This window comes from Homo sapiens, chromosome 2 (assembly GCF_000001405.40).
Source record: "Homo sapiens chromosome 2, GRCh38.p14 Primary Assembly".
Lineage (NCBI taxonomy): Eukaryota > Metazoa > Chordata > Mammalia > Primates > Hominidae > Homo > Homo sapiens.
In genome coordinates, this window is record NC_000002.12 from 215,542,343 (window position 1) to 215,564,433 (window position 22,091).

Sequence of the window (22,091 nt, forward strand, 5' to 3'; positions counted from 1 at the left end):
TCAGGGCTCTCTCTAAATGATACCACTGGAACCAAAAGAAAAGAAGTCAAAAGTTGAGAAACCAACTAAAAGGCCCATACCATATTTCTAAAGTCAAATAAAATAAAACAAAACCCATTCCTGTTTTTCATGTTTGAATCGATAAAAGTTGTGGCTTCTTCTCACAACCAATATATTCAGCTTTAATCAGAAAGCCTTAGTACCAAACTGTAGTTTTCAAGGGTTTGCGTTATTTAACAGAGTGTACAAAAATTTCACCAAGATACACATTAGAGACTGGCCAGTTTAATCATTCCTCAGTTAGCGTATGCTCCCCTTAATGACTGGCAGTATTTTTACTTTGAATTATCCTTGTGCAAAATAAAAGTAATATATCTGCTTTTTTTTCTAATAATGTTTTGGTCCAACACATCTATATTTTGATCATGCAGCAATTTTCTAAATTAAAGTTGACAACCCTCTTTAGTTTCTGCTTATAAACTTTTATGTGATAGATCTGAAAAAAATCTTATGCAATGATGTCATGGTGTCTGTCTGGTTGAATAATGCATTGTCTCATGTGGTGCTGTTTTTTGACATTTCCTACCTCATCTGGGCAGCTCCTTAGAGTAGTAGATCTAAAGACATTCACATCATGAAGCTGGATGACACCAGGCCATTTTGGTAAACTCTAGAAAATTTTATTTGTGGTAAAATAATTTAGTTATTAATGTGATGAACAGGTTTATGTTATGTAACTGAAAAATATCATTAAGATCAAAGCAGTTAAAGTTGTATTATTATATAAGCTCAACTTTATTCAACTTTTTAAACATTATAACATCAGTAATGTAGTCATTCACTTTACCTATTTTGATGGCACATATGATTTGCAGCCTATACTACAGCTTTTCTACTTAAAGATTTTTTTTCTTTTACATGCAGAGTTGAGTTAATCATGATGGCTTACTGTTGTCAACAATCTGTCAACTTTCTTCCCTTATTTTGTTGGTATTACCGTTTTTCTTTTTTTCCTAATCTCTACTCCATTGTTCCTCTTTTACTCCGAAGGCCCCTACTTTAGTGTGTTTGGTTTATAAATCAGTATCCTTATATGTTTTTGAAAAAAAAATGCAGTGTTGTTTTTATGATGCATTTTAAATTACACAAATAGTATTACATCATAGAATGTGTTCAGTTTCTTACTTTTTGCACTCAACACAGTGTTTTTGAGATCTATCCATGTTGCATGTAGCTGTCATTCATGGCTTTTGAGGCTGTGTAGTAGTCCACAGTATAGTAGTGCCATATTTAACCTAGTGATTGGCATATGGGTTGCCTCCAATCCCCAGGTCTCCAGCATGGATCACTAGGTGGATGGGAGTGTCATTCTTTACACAGGAAGTCCAAAAGGAGGAGTAGGCATTATGGGAAAGAGAGTGGTTTGTTTTAGTGCCCAGTTTAAGTTGCCTATAGAGCATCTCAGTGGGTGTATAGAGGAGGCATTTGGCTCTATGTGTGCACCTATAGGCAAATAGCCCAGCTCTGAAGAGACTGTTTGTAGAGAGCATGATTTAGAGTCATCAGCATACATGCTCACATAGATGAGATTACTGGAAGAAGGCATGGTGTGTGAAGAATCAAGGGCTGCTGACAGAGCTCTAGGCCACATCAACATGTAAGGGAGGGTAGAGGCAAGCACTTCTAAGGCATGTGAGTTGTGGTCATTCATAGAAATGATGCTCTAGGCCAAGGGTCAGTGAATACTCTCATGTGAGCCAACTCTGGCCAGCTACTGTTTTCTGTACTAATAAAAATGTTTTTTATTAGAACACAACCTCACTCATCTGTTTAGGTATTACCTGTGGCTGCTTTTGTGCCACAATGGCAGAGTTATCTAGTATTAAAAAAGATTGTATGATCTACAGAGCAGAAAATGTTTACCATCTGCCTTTCTGCCTTTTCTACAGAAAATGCTCGCTGACCCCTAACTAGACAATGAAATTAAAGTGTAAAGCGAGTGACTCTGGGATTCTTAATATTTCATCTTTGTACCACAAACAGGTTATATAATCATAAGTGTATCCTGTATGCTTGATAAGCACACATATTGTAATTCTATAAAAATGTTTTGTGTTCCCTTATTTCTTTTGAATGTATCAGTTTCCCAATATAAATCCACGGGAGTCAGATTTGCTTTTCTGTGGAAAACATAACTTTACTTCTGTTTGCCTGTTATTCTCTGCATGGTGTGATTAAGGTTGAAGAGCTTCTGTATTTATGTATTTCAGTTCCTCTGGGCATGATTACCCATGATTTTATGCAGTGTAAATGCATTAGTAAGAAGGAAAGCTCTTTTTTTATTATGTATTTTAAAAATGCATCTTAAATGCGACAGAAGCCTCAGTAGAAGTGTTGGAAAGTAGATAATGTCAACCTCAGATGAACAACTGTTGCTTTCTATTTCAAGTTTGAGAAACTATTCTCATATAAGCTGATTACTCTCTGCTTTCTTTTACATTCTTCGGAAGGAACTTTTACACGATAGCACTCAGCTTTCGGAGACCCTCCTTTGAAGCTAATCTGTATCAGAAACAAGTTGCAAATATATGAGACTATAAAATTGTGTTTCTATTAACATGTTTTTATTTCTCCTCTTTTAATACTGACCTTTACTAAAAAAAATCATATGTTCAGCAAGCCACCATCATCAAGATAAAGCATCGTCAACTTTTGTCAATATTCAATTCCAAGAAAAGAAACATTTTGTTTAGTCATTTTCTTTGCCTGAACGAGTATATAATTTTTTTACGTGTTCAGTGGATTAAAGAGTATTTGATGCACAGGTGTTTATGTAACCAGATCTTCAACTGAATTCCCAAACTTAATAAAGATGTTAAAATAAGATGCGTACACACACACACACACACACATATAGATGTTCTGAACCCTGACTACACATTGCAATCACTTAGGAGCTCTAAATGAGAAAAAAAAAAATACCGATGCCCGGATTCCATCTCCAGACATTTGTATTTAGTTACTCTGGCGTACCTTTCAGTCATTGGACTTTAAAAAGAAAAGCTCCTAGGCTGGGCGCGGTGGCTCACGCCTGTAATCCCAGCACTTTGGGAGGCCGAGGCAGGCGGATCACGAGGTCAGGAGATCGAGACCATTCTAGATAACACGGTGAAACCCTGTCTCTACTAAAAATACAAAAAAATTAGCCGGGCAAGATGGCGGGCGCCTGTAGTCCCAGCTACTCGGGAGGCTGAGGCAGGAGAATGGCGTGAACCCGGGAGGCGGAGCTTGCAGTGAGCCGAGATCGCGCCACTGCACTCCAGCCTGGGCGACGGAGCGAGACTCCGTCTCAAAAAAAAAGAAAAAAAAAAGCTCCTCTAGGTGATTACAGTATGATGCCTAAATTGAGAACCATTGTTGTAAATAATTAGTTAATGAAATCAATGGGAGGTGTAATAAGAGAAAGTTTAGAGACCATAATAGGAATGTTAATCAATGAATTTGTTACTGAAAAGAAGATAATAAAATTATTTTGAATTGGAGGAGGGCAATTATTATCAGGGCTAGTTATGAAATACGGAATGTGTGGAGTCTTTGAGCTCAGCAAAGTACCTACATGTCATCAAAATCTTGCGCAGAAACAAAGGAAGTAGAGAGAAACAGAATGTTTACATTTTGCAACCTTTAAGATCCAAAAGCGATTGGACTGTGAGCCCCTCTAGATGACCTGGGGAGTGGGCCCCGCCCGCGATGCTACTTACAGAATGAGAAAATCCTAAATGCAAATGAAGCAAATTGTTATTCAGGTGAGAGCAATACATGCAGTACTGTCGAGCACTGTCGTTCTTCAACTTTAGCAAATATCAGAATCACCTGGCGGTCTTGATGAAACACAAGCTGCTGAGCTTTACTCCAGAATTTCTGGTTCAGTAGGTCTGCAGTAGGACCTGAAATTTTATATTTCTAACAAGTTTTCAGGAGCTGCTGATGCCGCTAGTACAGGGCTCACATTTTGAGAACCTCTGGTCTAGCAAGTTGCCACCAAGAATGAAGATTGGGCCAGAGAACAGGGTAAGAGGTTTTTTTTGTTTTGTTTTGTTTTTGCGGGGCGGGGAGGGGGGAGGTGGTGGATGGTAAAATGCTAGCGTATACGTCGTATTGCCTGTCGATGACAATATGATGAACTTGTTGGTTCATTCTGGGTTTGTATACAGCAGTGAAGTGCTAGTTTGCGTCTGTTATCATCTCAACATGTTAAGGTCGTGTTCTTACCTTTGAATAAGCATTTTGATAGTTGTAAGGGCCTTTCCGTTTTCTTATTGTAACACAAATTCTAAGTACTTTTCCTTTGTTGTATTAGAAAAGAAGTGACATTTGACTCAATCATTTCATTCTCTCTAAGCTGAATTAACAAACCACCTAAAGGCATTTTCTTGGTTTTAGATAATGACTACCAAGCAGTACTTGGTAATTTAGCTGTGACAGCGATCTTCATACTTGTAAAGCTCCTTTTGCCAAGTTTCACACCTGATTGGGAGGCAGAGATGTGCTAATATAACTAAGACTCTGTCCACACTTTCAGAAAAGTGTTAACTAAGAATGGCACCCATTCTATGTATATACTTTTGGAAAAAGGAGATTTTCTCATTCCAAGCATTCGTGGGGCTAGAAAAGTACACCGTTCCATCAAGGCTGCGTCTCCTACAAAGAAAGCTCTTGTGAGAGTCCTCAGAATCGTTTCCTCAAGGGAGACTTTTAGAAAATTCCAGTGGGCTTGACAGATATTGGTAAGACATAGTTCAAAACTATAAATTTTACAAAAGGTTATACTGTATTTTTTTTTAATGTGGAGATAAACAGTAACGTTTAAGCCTTCTCTAAGTACAATAGACATTTGGATGAATGTGGCTTTGAGGTTCACTTTTTGCCACTGCTTTTGAAATATGTAACACAACATGTTACTCTAAGATAAAGAATTCATTAAAATGTAAAGAGTTCTCCTATGCAATCGGAATCAATTGCTTCATTTAAGATTTGGGAAGGTAAAAATTGTTTTAGCCTTTAAATGAGGGAAAGTATGATGGATGAAAACAACCTTTTCAAAAAAACAAAACAAAAACAGACATGCTGTTGAAATATAGCAAAACAAGTAAATGGGAATGGAATACTGCATTGAATTTACTTTCTATAAAGCCGTCCGTGCTGGAAATTCACTGCTAGCAAGTGGGAACAAGGTGTTACTTGACTTGGTTTGGCTAATAACCAGCATTTTTGGGAGCACAAATTGTAAGCAATATGGTTTTTTTTTTTTAAAACCCCCATCTTTCGTAATTCAAATTCAATAAATGAAACACTTTCCCCCTCTCCAGATGTCTAACAAAACGAGTCAACATTTTGCCTATTACAGCTAACTGATTATGAAGTATCTAGTTCACAATCTGACAAAAATAAACAAATGCACCAAATTAGAAAAAGAAGCTCAGAGACAAAATTAGTAGGCCATTTAAATGAATCTGATGTGCCTAGAAAACAGGTGAGAATGGTCCTTCAGTCATGCTTGCAGCAATTCTGGGGAAAGTGTTCCAGCTGGGAACGCAATGATTAATTAGAGGTGTGCTTTTCACATCAAACATACACACTTGGCACTAAACAATTCGTCCCAGGTGCTGCGTGAATGATGAGACAAATTCCATGTCTGTCCCCAAAGACTGAGAATTCTAGAATCTCAAGCATAGCTTTTTCTTAGAACTCATGCTATCTTAAAGTAAAATAGATGAATAGAAGTAACACACTGTGAAATCAAGTCTACAATGCATTCAGCGTTGAGTGAAGTCTTGTCTTTCTCCGACGGCGTTTGCCTTCGAATTGTGGGCACCAAATAACATTTGGGACTCTAAGTTGCAGATTTAAAATGTACACTTCCCTTGAAGCATAAATGCTATTAAATAAAAGAACTGGGTAGCAGTGGGTTTTCAAATTCTAGCGTGCTTAAGAGTCCCCTGGAGTATGTGTTAAAAGGGTAGATTGCTGGGCCACACTCCCTAAAGGCTCTGATTCAGAGCCCAAGACTATGTTGTTTATCAAGCAACCTAAGTGATTCTGATTCTGATGGTGTAGGACTATTTGTGGAGCAAAGTTAAAAATTTCTGCTTTCATGCTCTTCTCCGAAAGAGACCCTGCCCACTTTGGAATGTAGACATTCATTTCATTCGTTCAACAATATTTATTGATCACTTAAACCCATGCTAGGCCATAGGGATACAATGGTGAGCAGAACAGCCAACCAATAACAGCTTAGTCAGGCAGCTGATGGTCTTGTAGGGGGATACAGACATTCATCCTTGCATCACACAAATAATTATGAAATTACATCTTTGGTAAGTGTACACAGTAATATGAGAGTGGAGGAATCAATATGACAGCATGCATCTCATGAACTCTGCAAGGGTAAACAAAACTAGCTCTTAAATTTAAATTCTGCAGCGTTCCATTACATGCCTTCCTCCTAGGCAAGCCCATTTGCCAGTATGCTACTCATGCCCTGCTGTGTTGCAGAATGCTGGAAATGGTATCTATGTTCTACACATCTGTGATAAGATAACATGTAAGGCTCTAAACCACAGGCTGAAATCAGAAACATTTTCTTTAAAATGAATCATGCAGTCAAATGAAAGAGCCCAGTGTTAGAGTCCGTGAGGCCTCCAGCAAAAGCTCACATCTTGATCTAGAGGTGCAATTTTCATGAAGATTACAAAAAGTGATTTAAGAATTAGAAGACTTTATAGGCTAGATACTGATGATCCAACAACTCATTCTTTAAACATTGTCTTGGCATCTCAGGTCCTGGGCTAGCTGCTGGGAATGCAGTGGAAAGATTAGACTTAAATGTAAGCCTGGAAACTATGAAACTACTAGAAGAAAACACGGGGGAAACACTCTAGAACACTGGTCTGGGCAAAGATTTCTTGAGTAAGACCTCACAAAGCACAGGCAACCAAAGCAAAAGCTGGACAATGGGATTCCATCAAGCTAAAAAGTTTCTACACAGCAAAGGAAACAATCAACAAAGCAAAGAGACAACCCACAGCATGGGAGAAAATATTCGCAAACTACCTGCATGACAAGAGACTAATATTCAGAATGTTACAGGAAAGGTGTCCTGATCCAGACACCAAGAGGGGGTTCTTGGATCTCATGCAAGAAAGAATTCAGGGCGAGTCCACAGAATGAAGCAAAAGCAAGTTTATTAAGAAAGTAAAGTGGTGAAAGCACAGCTACTCCATAGACAGAGTAAGGCATTCCCGAAAGCAAGAGGAGGAATGCGTCCACCCTAGGTATAATGCTTGTTTATATACAGGATAAAAAAAAGATTATGGGGAGATGTATTGTGCTGTAAGAGTTTGTGATAAAGGATTAATTTTCGTAATTACTATATTTTGCAAGAATCAATATTATTACCTTTAAAGCAAAATTAGGAATGTCTTTGTTCTCAAGATATCGGGATATTAGGACATTCCCACGACTGGGTCTCTTTAGTAAACATTATCAATCTGTTCCCTTAACCATAAACATCTAGAGGCCAGGAATACCTTTCTTTCTGGGAATGCAGCCCAGCAAATCCCAGCCTCCTTGTCCTAGCCCCCACTCAAGATGGAGTTGCTGTGGTTCGAACACCTCTGACAAGAATATATAAGGAGCTCAAACAACTCAATAGGAAAAACCCAAATAATCCAATTAAAAATGGGCAAAATATCTGAATAGAGACTTCTCAAAAGAAGACATGCAAATAGTCAACAGGTATATAAAATATACTCAACGTCACTAATCATTAGAGAAATGCAAATCAAAACTACAATGAGATATCATCTCACTCCAGTTAAATGGCTGTTATCAAAAAGATAGGCAATAGCAGATGCTGGTGAGGCCTGGGGAGAAAGGGAAAAACTTATACACTGTTGGTAGAAGTGTAAATTAGTACAGCCACTATAAAGAACAATGTAGAGTTTCCTCAAAAACACTGAAAACACAGCTATCATATGATCCAGCAATCCCACTGTTGGGCATGTATCCAAAAGAAAGGAAATCAGCATATCAAAGAGATATCTACACTCCTCCATTTATTGCAGCCCTATGCACGATAGCCAAGATTTGGAATCACCCTAAGTGTCCATCAATAGATGAATGCATAAAGAAAATTTTAGTACATATACATAATGGAATATTAGCTGTAAAAAGAAGGAAATCCTGTTCTTTGTGACAACATGAATGGAACTGGAGGACAGTGTGTTAAATGAAATAAGCCAGGCACACGAAGACAAATATCACATGTTCTCACCCATATGTGGGAGCTAAAACAAAAATTGAACTCATGGAGATAGAGAGTAGAATGATGGTTACCAGAGGCTGGAAAGGATAGTGGGGAGAATGGAATAAAGAGGAGATGGTTAATGGGTATACAAAGATGCTGTTAGAGAGAAAGAATAAGATCTAGTGTGTGGCAGCACAATAGGGCAACTGTAGTTAACAATAATTTATTGTACATTTCAAAATAACTAAAGGAGTAGAATTAGACTGCCCCTAATGCAAAGGAATGGTACATGCTTGAGGTGATGGATACCCCAATTACACTGATTTGATCATCACACACTGTATGCTTGTATCAAAACATCACATGTACCCCATAAATAGGTACGACTGTTATGTATCCATAATAATTAAAAATGTAAAAAGCAGAAGAGCAGGCAGCCTGCCCTCAGGGAGTTCACAGTCTAGTGCAGCCATAATCAGTGCACCTACAACCAGTGACAGATGCTTTAATCAACACTGCCCATGTGCTGGGTACTATTAGGATTTGGGAAGCAGAATATGAGTTAGCCTTAAGTGCTCAGTCTAGAGGACAGTGCCTCTCAGTATGTGAGGAATAATCAGCTGAGGACATGGACCTTGAAGTTAGAGAGACTTTGATTCAAATCCCAACTCTACTGTTTTATCAAAGTGACCTTGAGAACATCACTTAGCCTTTCTGAGAACTAGATCCTTCCTGTATGACACCAGGTCAATACTTGGTTTCAGACGTGTTATACCGTAGTTCATATGTAGCAGTCCCTCTGTGCATCATCTGTTTTGACCAGGGTACCAACTCAACACATCCTCACATTCACTATGAAGACTCCACTCTGACCCTACCATTTTAGCAGGATGATTTCACTCAATATTTGTATGGAAAATAATAGGAGGTGCTTATATTTCATTCTCCTCTGTATTTTGTTCCCAAACTGCCCATGTTTTTCCAAAATCTTCTTTCTCCTCTTTGTCCCTTGCCAGTCATGGCTTTGTAAATCTTTTTAGCTTTTTACCATAGTTCTTGATCTCTTCCTTTTAAATGCAGAATTATTTAACCTGGTCTGAACTCCTCCAAGCTTGCCCACCCACATCCTTCCAGTATCATATTCTAGCATCCTTAGAAAAGAAATATATAAATATAAATGTAAATATAAAGAACAATAATTTTTTGTCCCAGAATGTTTAGAAATAATACAGAGTCTGCCCTTCGTGTATGCAGGTTCTATGTCTATGGATTCAACCAATCTTGGACTGAAAATATTCAGGAAAAGAAGGGATGGTTGTATCTGTACTGAACATGTATAGACTTTTTTCTTTGTCATTATTCCCTAAACAATACAGTATAACAATGGTTTACATAGCATTTATATCCTATTAGGTATTATAAGTAATCTAGAGATTATTTAAAGTATATGAGAAGATGTGTGTAGGTTACATGCAAATACTTTGCCATTTTATATAAGGAAATTGAGCACCTGTGGATTTTGGTATCCATGGGGATCCTAGAACCAGTCCCCCATGGATACAGAGGACGCATGTAGAGAAAAAACCAGAGCACAAAGGTGAAGTTGGATGAATGGTCTACAAACACCAACAGGACCTTGACTGATTGTGCCTCTTTGTTCTGATGTTCTATGATAACAATCATGTATTTAGGAAATCGTTTCCATTTGAACAGTTCAAAGCAATGTGTAACGTTTACTATTTATCATATAAAATAGGGAGCAGAGATAACTGTTTTATGGATGAAAAGATTGTAGCACAGAAATATTCCAATGCTCAAAGTCTAGTAATTAGCTAACTCCAAGAAGAAGAATAGAACACTGGTTAGGCATCTGAGGAGGGTGTTGCATAGAGGATGATATACTTCTAAATGAAAAATGAAATGCGTGTTAACTTTAAAGTGTTAAATCCACATGATGTTAAATATGCAGATATTTGGCTTTCTGAATTCACAGCCCAGATCTTTAATTTAAACAGTCATTGAAATGATTTAATATTTTGAAGAGGCCAATTACCTTCTTTCCACCTGAAATTTAGCTTTTAATTGATTACTACACAGTATCTACTTAACATTCTGTTTATAAAAATTTCAGCAATATGGTCCTTATACCCTCAGTATATTCAGCACCAAATCCACTTTGGAAAAGTAATTATAACTGTGCTTTCTGTAAAAAGTGTGAAGAAGGAGAGCTAATTTTTAAAATCCTCTTTTTGATTTGATCTGTTTGAGAGGTTCGAAATGCAAGTGCTTGGTAAAGCAAATGCAAAAACAGAAAAAGAAGTTGTTTAAGTTGAACCTCCAATCCTGTGACTGTTTTTATAGGCCTTGATTAGCAGCAAATTCTAGGATTTTATTTAATAAAAACAAGTCCTCTTTGATTTGATTCCCCTCTGGGATAGACTTAAAAATAATAAATATGCAGTATGTGGTTTCTCTAATTTTATGAATCAAGGCCATTCCTAAATGTATTTTCCAAAATGTTGGTATTTTATTCAATATTGTTAGCCCCCGTCTCCCCATGGAACTTCCTTTGCAGTGACTGGCTTCATGAAGCCCTATTTGAGAAGCCTGCTGTACCCTAGAACCCATGGAGGTGCAGTGGGAGGTGACTGTACAAATAGACCCCTGGAGATTGTTGGTAGCTACTGACAAATATTGTCTTTGATTGCTTTTATTTCCCTTGACTCTACCTTCCTCTACCCAACTCTGTAACTGCTAGAACCCCAATAATGCCACCCCACATAGTTTTTGCAACTTCAAAAATATGTTGTATATCATTGGGAAGGCCAGATGTAGAATATTAGCATGATATATTATTTTAATGTATAAATTGGCCGGGCATGGTGGCTCACCCCTGTAATCCCAGCACTTTGGGACGCCATGACGGGTGGATCAAATGAGGTCAGGAATTCGAGACCAGTGTGACCAACATGGTGAAACCTCGTCTCTACTAAAAATACAAAAATTAGGCATGGTGGCAGGTGCCTGTAATCCTAGCTACTAGGGAGGCTGAGGCAGGAGAATTGCTTGAACCCTGGGAGGTGGAGGTTGCAGTGAGCTGAGATCATGCCACTGCACTCCAGCCTGGGCAACAGAGTGAGACTCCATCTCAAAAAAAAAAAAAATCTGTAATTAATTTCAGCCCATGTGAAGATAATTTGTAGTCTATATATAATTTCACATTAATGCATAAGAAAATAATAAGATACTAAGATGGTTCATTAAAGCTCAGATGTAGACTATCCAGTAGATTAATTATATCAGTTAAGTTTGTGTATGTATAGTGCTTACTGTGTACCAGGTAAGCCATGGTACCTGCTCTAATACCATGTTCTAAACACTATTCATGTATTCACTTCATCAATCCTCACACCCACAAAAAAGAAGGTATTATCTCCATTTTACAGATGAGAAAACTGAAACACAGAGAAGTTAGATAAGCAAATAAGTGGCAGGACTTGCTCCAGGGGCTCGGCCTATAGAGGGCACTCTCTCGATCACCATAAGACATCACCTCTATGGTTACTTGGTAATTTGTAGGCAAATATAACTAGGATTGCATAATGTTAAGTTAAGAAAAATATCCAAAGGAATGGATTTTCATAGGTGAATCAGGTTCATTTTGCATTGCGTTTTTACTGTACTAAATATCTCTCCTTGTATTAAAACTTAGACTTTTTAGGGTAGACAGTCCATAGACTTAACTTCAAATCAGTGGGGTATAATCCATAGCCTTTTACAGATAGGCTATGAAGAGCAAAGCAAATGGCCTAAACTGAGGGTATCCCAGCAAGTGGCACTTATTCTCTGCTCAGCCTGCTAGCTCCGAGCACACGCCTGAACATTGACATATTTCATCAGTGGGAAAGTACGAAAGTCTTACTGGAGAGCTTTAGGGTGAGATATATTATTATTAGCCATTTGAATTTCTTATTCTCAGAATATCTTTTTTATGCCAAAGATTCGCTTCCTGATAAATGACCCGAACAAATGTCTGCATGGTTTTCATGAGAAATTTAGATTGACTCCCATACCAGGACTCATTGAAGTAAGTCTGCCCCAAATCCATGCCCACATTTAGATCTTCGGGAAGGTAGCTTCAAGATTCTAATGTTTCAGTATAATTCAAGCATAGCTTGAATTAAAGCCAAATTCAGCTTTTGGCATGACTAAGAGGAAATAATGTATATGTCAAACACAAGATTGAAGCTAGCTGAATTTTTAAGCAATGAACCATGAATTCATTAAGGTATTTATATCTGGCAGTGACTGTGTGTTGTAGCAATCTAATGATTTTATGTTCAGTTCTCAGCTGCCTTTCCTGTACTTGGTTATTGGCTGAAACCAAAGGATAGAGAATCCAGAGGGTAATTGTTGGGTTAGGGCCATAGGGTTGGGAGGAACTGGGATAATGTTACAAATGAAAAAAAGAAGAAATAAAATTAGCAAGTATGAAAACCTAAAACTAAGGTGTATCGTTTTCCATTTTTGCTTGAAAAATGTATTCAGAATTAAAGACCGTAAAGAAGTATCTTCAGCCAGAAATCCTTGGCTTCCTCCCGTGTGCTGTACTGGTTGATTAAAAATTGCCTCCCTTTGGATTCTCGTATCACAGTAGGGTCACAGGACAGTCTATATTGGAAGAAAGAGTCTCAGGACAAAGCACTGCTCAGAAGACCAGGGAAATAGAGAAACACCAGGGAAACACACTGTGTTCAAGGGGTTTAAGTGCAGGCAATTAGTTAGGGACTAAATTATCCTTAGAAACTGAAGAAACAGGCAAACAGGATAACAGATGCAAAGCACTGTAGTCAAGGAAAGACCTTGACGAGATAGAGCCATGCATGGTTTTCTTAGGGCTACCAGAGAAACACTGTGTGATCATCCTGCACAAGGGGTTGGTGGGAGTGAGTGATGGAGAGTTAATGAGTAGCCAGAGAGGACACTGTACAGACTGGCTGCCCCTGACATGGGCAGAGACTGGCAAAATAGCGGGACTCTATGTTTAATACCACATATACACAATATAATTATATTGTTGTTATTATAAATACATATATTATACTGTATATATTCTAATATTTAGAAAATGTAAAGAGTAGTGTATATATATTAATATTATTTATAATATATATAATTGAGATATTTTATATATATATGTAGAACAATGAGAACAGTGTGCTAGTAATTTGACAACAAACACCTCCAGAAACAGAGCCATCCAGACCAGAACATCACAGATCAAGAGGCAATATGATGTGGTGAGAAAAGCACTGGAGTAGGAGTTGTGAGTCCAAATTGCAGTCTTCATTGTGTTACACATTTATGATCTCCGGCAAGCTTCTCCTCCAGGGCCTTCAGCTTCCTTACCTGTGGAGTTAAATAGGTTGGCTAGGGTGAGCTCTCAGGGCCCTTCTGGTTCCAAGGAGAAATGGGTCTCAGGGTCCTTGCATAGGCACAAGAAGTAAAGAGGCCCTTCCCCTGCCAGGAGCCCAATTTTCCTACCATGTGATACCCAGGTTGTGCTTACGAGATACACAACAAAAATGACTACATTTTAACCAAATGCTTCCAAATTTTCTAAAAGTGAAATGATCAGGAGTGTACATAGAAAAATTTTACATTTTCTTCTTTGGTCTTTATTCTGTAGAATGTAGCTGCCACTGATATATATTATCAAAGCAAAACCTTGTTTTTCCACCTTCATCTGTTCCTTCTTTATGGAGAATCTCTGCTGCCTTCTCAAACATCTATGATGGCTAAGAAAGGGAGATGAGGGAGTGTGGAAGGAGTCAGAACTGCCATCTGACTGTGGTTCTACCTATATTACTAGAATTGGCCGAGTGTGATCATTGCCACCTTGGAGTCACTTACAGTCAACTTGAATGATTATGAAACAAGGGGTAAAAATGACACAGAATGTCAGATTAAAACAATGACACCACTGGGGGCTGGGCGCAGTGGCTCATGCCTGTAATCCCAGCACTTTGGGAGGCCAAGGTGGGCAGATCACAAGGTCAGGAGATCGAGACCATCTTAGCTAACAAGGTGAAACCCCATCTCTACTACAAAACACAAAAAAATTAGTCGGGCGTGGTGGTGGGCACCTGTAGTCCCAGCTACTCGGGAGGCTGAGGCAGGAGAACGGCGTGAACCCGGGTGGTGGAGCTTGCAGTGAGCCGAGATCGCATCATCGCACTCCAGCCTGGGCGACAGAGCAAGACTCTGTCTTAAAAACAAACAGACAAACCAAAAAACAAACAAAAAGAAAACAATAACACCACTGACTAGGTGAATCCAAAGATCTGCCAATGGGTGTCTATTATTGGCTTAATTGTGTCCCTCCAACCCCTAAATACATATGTTGAAGTCTTAAGCCCCAGTGCCTGAGGATGTGGACTTATTTGAAGATAGGGTCTTTCAAGAGGTAATTGAGATTAAGTGAGGTCATATGAGTTGGCCATATTCCAGTATGACTGGTGTACTTACAAGAAGAGGGGATTACGACACAAATACAGACTGGAAGGAGGCCATATGAGGACCCAGCAAGTAGGTGGCCATCTGCAAGGCCAGGAGAGAGGCCTCAGAAGAAACCAACCTGCGACCACCTTGATCTCAGACTTTCAGCCTCTGGAACTGTGAAAAAATAAATTTTTATTGCTTAACCACCTAGTCTGTGGCATTTCGTGATGGCAGCCTGAGCTGACTAATACAAGTGTCCAAATTAATTCTCACCAATTTAAGTACAGTAATCCTTTCATGTCACTCTAGATCACCTCCAGCGCCTAGTTACACCTTCAATAAATGTTCCTTATAAAATATTTTATTTCTAGTTTGATGCCTTTAGGAAGGAAATGTAAAACATTGACATTTAACAGATTATATTTTAATTGCACTGTGCCATTAGGAGACATGTGTTTCCTTTGAGTTTTGGAAAAGTTGTTGGAAAAACTACATAAATGAGGTTGATGTTCCTGTCACTTGTGTTGGTGGAGTATCACCTGGCTGATGTGTTATTGTTGAAAACATCTGGATAGAGTCATTTATTTTCTTTCGTGAAAAGTGTGTGGATTAAAAACAGACCTCTTCAATTTAGTAGCACAGCATAAAGGGTCTCACACTTGGGCTTTGTCCCACCAGCAGGGAGCCCAGTGCTGAGTGAGGAGAATGCAATTGAATGAGGGACCATTTCCATGACCTGGGTGGATTCCCAAATGGAGAAGACTAAGCAATCTTGGCAGCAGCTGTTAATTACAGAAAAGATGGGAGAGCAAGCAGCTGTTCTACACTACTCAATGTTCACCTAGTATCTTTCTAAGAGCTTTAAAATCATGGACATGGGGAGTTCAGATTTCATTTCTTTTTTCTTTTTTTTGTGTGTGTGTGTGTGACAGTCTCGCTGTATTGCCCAGGCTGGAGTGCAGTGACGCGATCTCGGCTCACTGCAAGCTCCTCCTCCCGTGTTCACGCCATTCTCCTGCCTCAGCCTCCCTAGTAGCTGGGACTACAGGTACCCACCACGCCCGGCTAATTTTTTTGTATTTTTAATAGAGACGGGGTTTCACTGTGCTAGCCAAAATGGTCTGGATCTCCTGATCTCGTGATCCGCCCGCCTCAGTCTCCCAAAATGCTGGGATTACCGGCGTGAGCCACTGTGCCCGGCCTCAAATTTCATTTCTAAGAATAGTATTGATGCCAGGACTTGAGGGCAAAGACTGGGTCTAATTCATCTACTTGTCTCCTGTCTGTTCGGGGTCATGAGAGTAACTTGCATACAACTAGTGCCCGTGTGTCTGTTGAGCTGAACCTAACCTAAAAGGGGCAAATTTCTCATTGCAGTAGGTACTTCTTGATAGATGAGAGTGTGTATGTGTGTGTGTGTAAATGTATAAATGAGTATTCTAGTTATAATATTTATTTTCTTCTTAGTGAAACAAGCATTCCCATTATTATTTTGCATCGGGGGAAAAAAAAGCAGTAAAAAGTCTTCCAGCGCTCAGTCACGTGGCAAAGTGAAAGCAGAATTCAGGAGTGGTTGCACTGAGACCCTTATTACAAGAGCTCACCAGCAACCCCCTCCCTTCCAGAGAGGCTAAATGATGATGCATTTCTACTAACTACATTCAAGTGTCTGCAGAATTAGGGCTACATCACTGCCCTAGAATATAAATGAATGTTCTTTCGCCAGAGGACACTAGAAACAGATGTTGTTCCTCCTCCTTATTTAACTATAAAACACTTTTGTTGTTGTTATTGTTTTTTAAAAAGATCTGTAGGTGTCTTTCAAAGGAACCTTCATCCCCTTCGAGGCAAGGGGATTAGTATTTACTATGCAGTACTATCTGCCATGAACCTTGCATGTGCTATCTCATTTAATTCTTCTTTTTCTTTTCTTTTCTTTTTTTTTTTTTTTGAGACGGAGTCTTGCTCTGTTGCCCAGACGGGAGTGCAGTGGCGCGATCTCGGCTCACTGCAAGCTCTGCCTCCCGGGTTCAAGCAATTCTCCCGCTGCAGCCTCCCGAGTAGCTGGGACTACAGGCACCCACCACCACGCCCGGCTAATTTTGGTTTTGTATTTTTAGTAGAGACGGGGTTTCACCGTGTTAGCCAGGATGGTCTCAATCTCCTGACCTTGTGATCCGCCTGCCTAGGCCTCCTAAAGTGCTGAGGTTACAGTCGTGAGCCACCATGCTTGGCCTCATTTAATTATCAAAGTAACCCAGTGAAGGAGAAACTAGCAAGCTTAATTTAAACATGAGACAACAGAGGCTCAGAAGGGTTACCAAGCTTCCCCAAGGCCACTGCGTGAGTGGCCAGATTCCAACCTGGATCAACAATTCTGCACAGACCTTGCTCCTTCTACCTCATTCACTGCTTCCCAAATGCTCTGTCTTAGTCTGTGCAGGCTACTCTAATAAAATACCACAAATTAGGTGGCTTATAAACTACAGAAATTGATTTCTCACAGTTTGGAGGCTGGGAAGTCCAAGAGTGAGGCAGATTTGGAGTCTGGTGAGGAGCTACTGCCCGGTTCATAGATGGTCATCTTCTCACTGTGTGGAAGGGGCAAATGAGCTTCCTGGGGTCTCTTTATAAAAGAGCACAAATCTAATTCATGAGGGCTCCACCTTTAAGACCTTAATCGCTTCTCATAGGTCCCACCTCCAAATACCATCACATTGGGATTAGGTCCCAACGTAAGAATCTTGGAGGCATACGGACATTCAGTCTATAGCAGCCCTAGGGCTGACGGTTAGAATCTAAGCATAATCTCTATAAATTTCATTGCTTTTCTGTTTGTTTGTTAACATGTCACTAAAAATTGGCTGGAGAGATTTTCATCAAATTTGAAGAGAAGGTATGGAATGGTCTGACTTTTAAAGATGGACTATGCGGCACATGGGAACCGCACTTTGGAGGACGCCGAGGAGCAGCAGGGGAATAATACCTTAAGGCAAGTGGGAGAAACAAGTCCTTTTGAGGACAAGAAGAGTGACATCCGACATGAAAGTCATTCAGCAGTGACTAGGGAAGGGGTGCTTGATCAAGGCCCACTGAGATGGATGCTGTATTAGTTTGCTAGGGCTGCCATAACAAAACACCGTGGATCGGGTGACTTAAACAACAGGCATTTATTTTTTTCCCAATTCCAGAGGCTGAAAGTTCAAGATCAAGCTGTGCGGGGTTGGTTTCTTCTGAGGCCTTTCTCCTTAGCCTTGGGCTCTCCTCTTGCTGTATCCTTACGTGGTCTTTCCTCTGTGCATGTACATGTCTCTGTCCTAATCTCCTTTCTTATAAGAACACCATCATTTTAGAGAAGGGCCATAGTACCTCATTTTACCTGAACTACCCCTTTAAAGGCTCTATCTTCAAATGCAGTCACATTCTGAGATACTAGATGTTAAGACTTCAGTACATGGATTTTGGGGAAGACACAATTTATAGTTTAGCTCACAACAGATGCCCAAAGGATATTTGAGTACAAAAAAAGAAAAGGAGGCACTCAAGCCTTCCCGAAGAGTATCTAAAATGAAGTTTATGGTATACCCATGGGATGACATGTTAGGAGCCCATTATAGGAAACATTTGGCTGCCAATTGGGAGGGACACACCATATATTTAAGATGTCATAAACAAAGAACACAAACAATGGTTCCAATTATGAGATCTGAATGAAATTATGTTAAGGAATGTCATAGCAGTTCACTGTCTGAAATTTGATACAGTTATCGAGCTAAAATGGGAAGGCGGAGCTAAGGTATATGCTATTCAAGGGAAAAGTCCTATGGGAGCCATGTTTTGAGCCTCAGTGCTCCACAATCTTCATTGTGATGATATCTGGGGCTCAGGTGTTATTTAAAATACACCTTTAGGGTTTACATCAGGGATTTCAATGTAGCGTGATAAAGGGAATCCATATAGATCCCCTGGATACCAATGATTTCCTTCAATACCTTTTTACTTTCAAATCCCTAAAGTATCCCATGAGTGTCTGTTTCACCAGGAGTAAATTACAAAGCCGACATCCCAAATTGCAGGTGTTGATTTCTGATTGATGTGTCTCTTGCATAGAGAATAACATAGAAAGATCCAGAGTAACAAGGAGTGGAAGTTTGTTCATATGTGCCTCCATGTAATTAAAAACACAAAAGAGATATTTAGAGAAACTGATATGGTTTGGCTGTGTCCCCACCCAAATCTCATCTTGAATTGTAGTTCCCATAATACCCACCTGTTGTGGGAGGGACCAGGTGGAGATAATTGAATCATGGGGGTGGTTTCCCCCATCCTGTTCTTGTGATAGTGAGTTAGTTCTCACGAGACCTGAGACCTGATGGTTTTGTAAGGGGCTTCCCTCTTTGCTGGAGACTCATTCTTCTCTTGCCTGCTGCCATATAAGACATACCTTTGCTCCTCCTTTGCCTTCCTCAATGTTTGTGAGGCCTCCCCAGCCATGTGGAAGTGTTAGTCCATTAAACCTCTTTTTCTTTATAACTTGCCCAATCTCAGTTATGTCTTTATTAGCAGCATGAGAATGAAATAATACAGAAACTTTATTACAAATTTGAAAAAAAATTGGTTTTGTATCAGTGCTATCCAATAAAAATATAATGTATATAACTTCAAATTTTTAATAGTCACATTGGAAAATACTAAAAGAAAAAGATGAACTAAGCATATTTTATATAATGCAATATATCTAAAATATTATCATTTCAATGTGTATAATCATATAAAAGTTTATAATGAGGTATTTTATGTTCTTTGTTTTCTGTGCTATATCTCCAAACCCCTGTGTATATTTTATGTTCACAGTACATTTCAACTGTCATTAGATATATTTGACCCTTATTTAGATTTCATAAAATGAATAGATGGAAAAGTAGATTCACATATACACATTGTTCCAAACTTAAAAGTGTTTAATAACTGAATCAAGGATTCATTTAAAAAATTTTAAATTAAATTAAATTTTAATTTTAAAATGTAGTTACTCAGACTAGACATATTTTAAGTAAACATTTGTGGCTACAGAGTTTGACAGTGCAGTTTCAAATATTATTGAGTGAACACAGAGAAATAAATACATCTATAGAAAATGATTAAGTTCCACAGTGTTTTCTTTAGTTCCTATTACATGTTAAGGAGGCAATTACTTTTCCTGACCCAAACAGATTGTAGATAAAAAGGCAGGTTGACATAGTATAATTCACACAGTACTGGTATGAAAGGGGGCCTGATGACAGTCCTGTCATTTTCCCCGCCCATCAGGGTGATCTTGAACAAGTCACCTCACCTCTCATGCCCTCAGCTTCTTCATCTGTCAAAAGAGGGTTGGTCTAAAATCTCTTCCAGTTCTCACTTTTTATAATCTAAATCCACAGCGGAATTGAAGTCAATTTGTGTGAAAGCAGATTATGTTATGAAAAAAAATCTTGTTTACACTATAGAAAAATCTGTTTTTCTCTTATTCATTACACTCCCCACACATAGGATAATTTCAGTGTACTAAACTAAAATTTGTGAAAGTATCAAAAGTTAGGCACCTGAAGACCAAATTATCTGGAAATTTTCATGTGCCAAATCAGTAAGAAATCAATCATGTGAGAGATGTCTCCTTCCAGGGAATCAAACTGAGCCCTTGCCCCAGTGCCCTCCTGTGTCCCTTTTTTAATTGGTAAATATTCATGATGTGTGAAAAATCATGATTCATACCGTACGATCTCAGTCCCATAAAATTGGATGTTGTGCCTACACACAGGATCTAGAAGAATATGTCAAACTATAAACTGGTTGTGATTGTGAATGACTTTGTTCTTTGCTTCTTGTGTTTTTCGGTTTCCTATAATGCACATATTAACTTTTAAAAAATAAAGGTTATTTTAAAAGCCAAAAAAAAAAAAAGAACCAACAAGAAACCCATGGTTAGGCATGTCCTGAGTCAGGTGAGGCTTTGCAAGTTTTGAGATTCATCACTCATGAGTTGACTAATGGTGCTTTTTAATCTCATGCTTTATTTAGCTGATAGCAGCTTTTATACTGAGGTACTGGTTAACACAATAAGTGACAATTTATTATTTGCTTTTAAGTCCTTGAGTATTATTTAGTTTGTTGACAATTTTAAAAGCCTATATATTTCAGACTAAAATCACAATATTGTATGTATTTGTTTAAAATTTTTGAGAAATGGAGGATCATACAATAAACAAAATCTGTCATAATATTTTTACATAAACATTTTTACCATATTCATGTATTTCTCCCTGGCCTTCTTTTACAGGTTTGTTTAATTTTTATATTGATTTTTTACAAAACTGGGATCATATATATATATATATAGATCATATATATATATGATGGCTTCCTGGATGTGTCAACTTGGCTAGGCTACAGGCTTCACTTATGCAAAGAGTACCAGGTATTTCTGGGAAGGGATTTTGCAAATGTAAATGAAAGTCTCTAATTAATTTTAAGTACGGGAGATTACCCTGGATTATCTGGGTGGCCTGACTTATCAGTTAGAAAGCTTTAAAAGTAGGGCTGAGGCTTCCAAAAAAAAACCGAGAGGGCTTTGTAACTGTTCTTTCCTGAGAGCTTGTCCTGTGGATTTCAGACTTACAATTATGTAACCCATTTCCCTATAATAAATTTCTTAGTATATATATATCTGCTTCTCTGGTTGAAACTTGAGATACAATATACAATTTTATAATTCATTCACTGAACATGTTTTCAGTATTTTCTCACATCCCCAATTTTCTGAGACTTTTCATATCTGCATAAGCGTGCATAACATTTTAAGAAGAAAACTATGTTCTTATTATTTTACATTTAAGTGATTTGCAACTTTTATTGCAGATAACATTGAACTGCAGATACTTGTATGCAGATCTTTGTGTCCACAAGAGATTCTTAGATGAAAGAACCTGAGACCCCTAAGCCAAATTCATCTTCAGAAAGGGTGCATCAATTTACATTAGCATTTATATACAGTCTATCACTGAGTACTCTCAATAATATTAAATTTATTATAATTTTTTAAACTTGTATCTCTTTCAAGCAAAAAGGTTACTGTTTTAATTTCCACTATGTGTATGTGCATATGTATGTATATATATGTATTATATATATGAAATATATATGTATTATATATATGAAATATATATATATACACACACACAGACATGTATACATACGTATATGTAATCACTAACTGTTCTTTCTAAAATTGGGGGTGGGAATT

General features: G+C 38.4%; 1 long non-coding RNA gene across 4 annotated transcripts in view; it reads left to right on the forward strand.

Annotated features, from left to right (window-relative positions):
* The first annotated feature begins 3,865 nt into the window (after positions 1–3,865).
* LOC102724861 (uncharacterized) overlaps positions 3,866–22,091 on the forward strand; it is a 168,179-nt gene continuing 149,953 nt past the window's right edge. For all 4 annotated transcript variants that reach the window (NR_187737.1, NR_187736.1, NR_187735.1 and 1 more), the window contains exon 1: positions 3,866–4,071. This is a non-coding gene — a long non-coding RNA (uncharacterized LOC102724861). The remainder of the gene's footprint in view (positions 4,072–22,091) is intronic.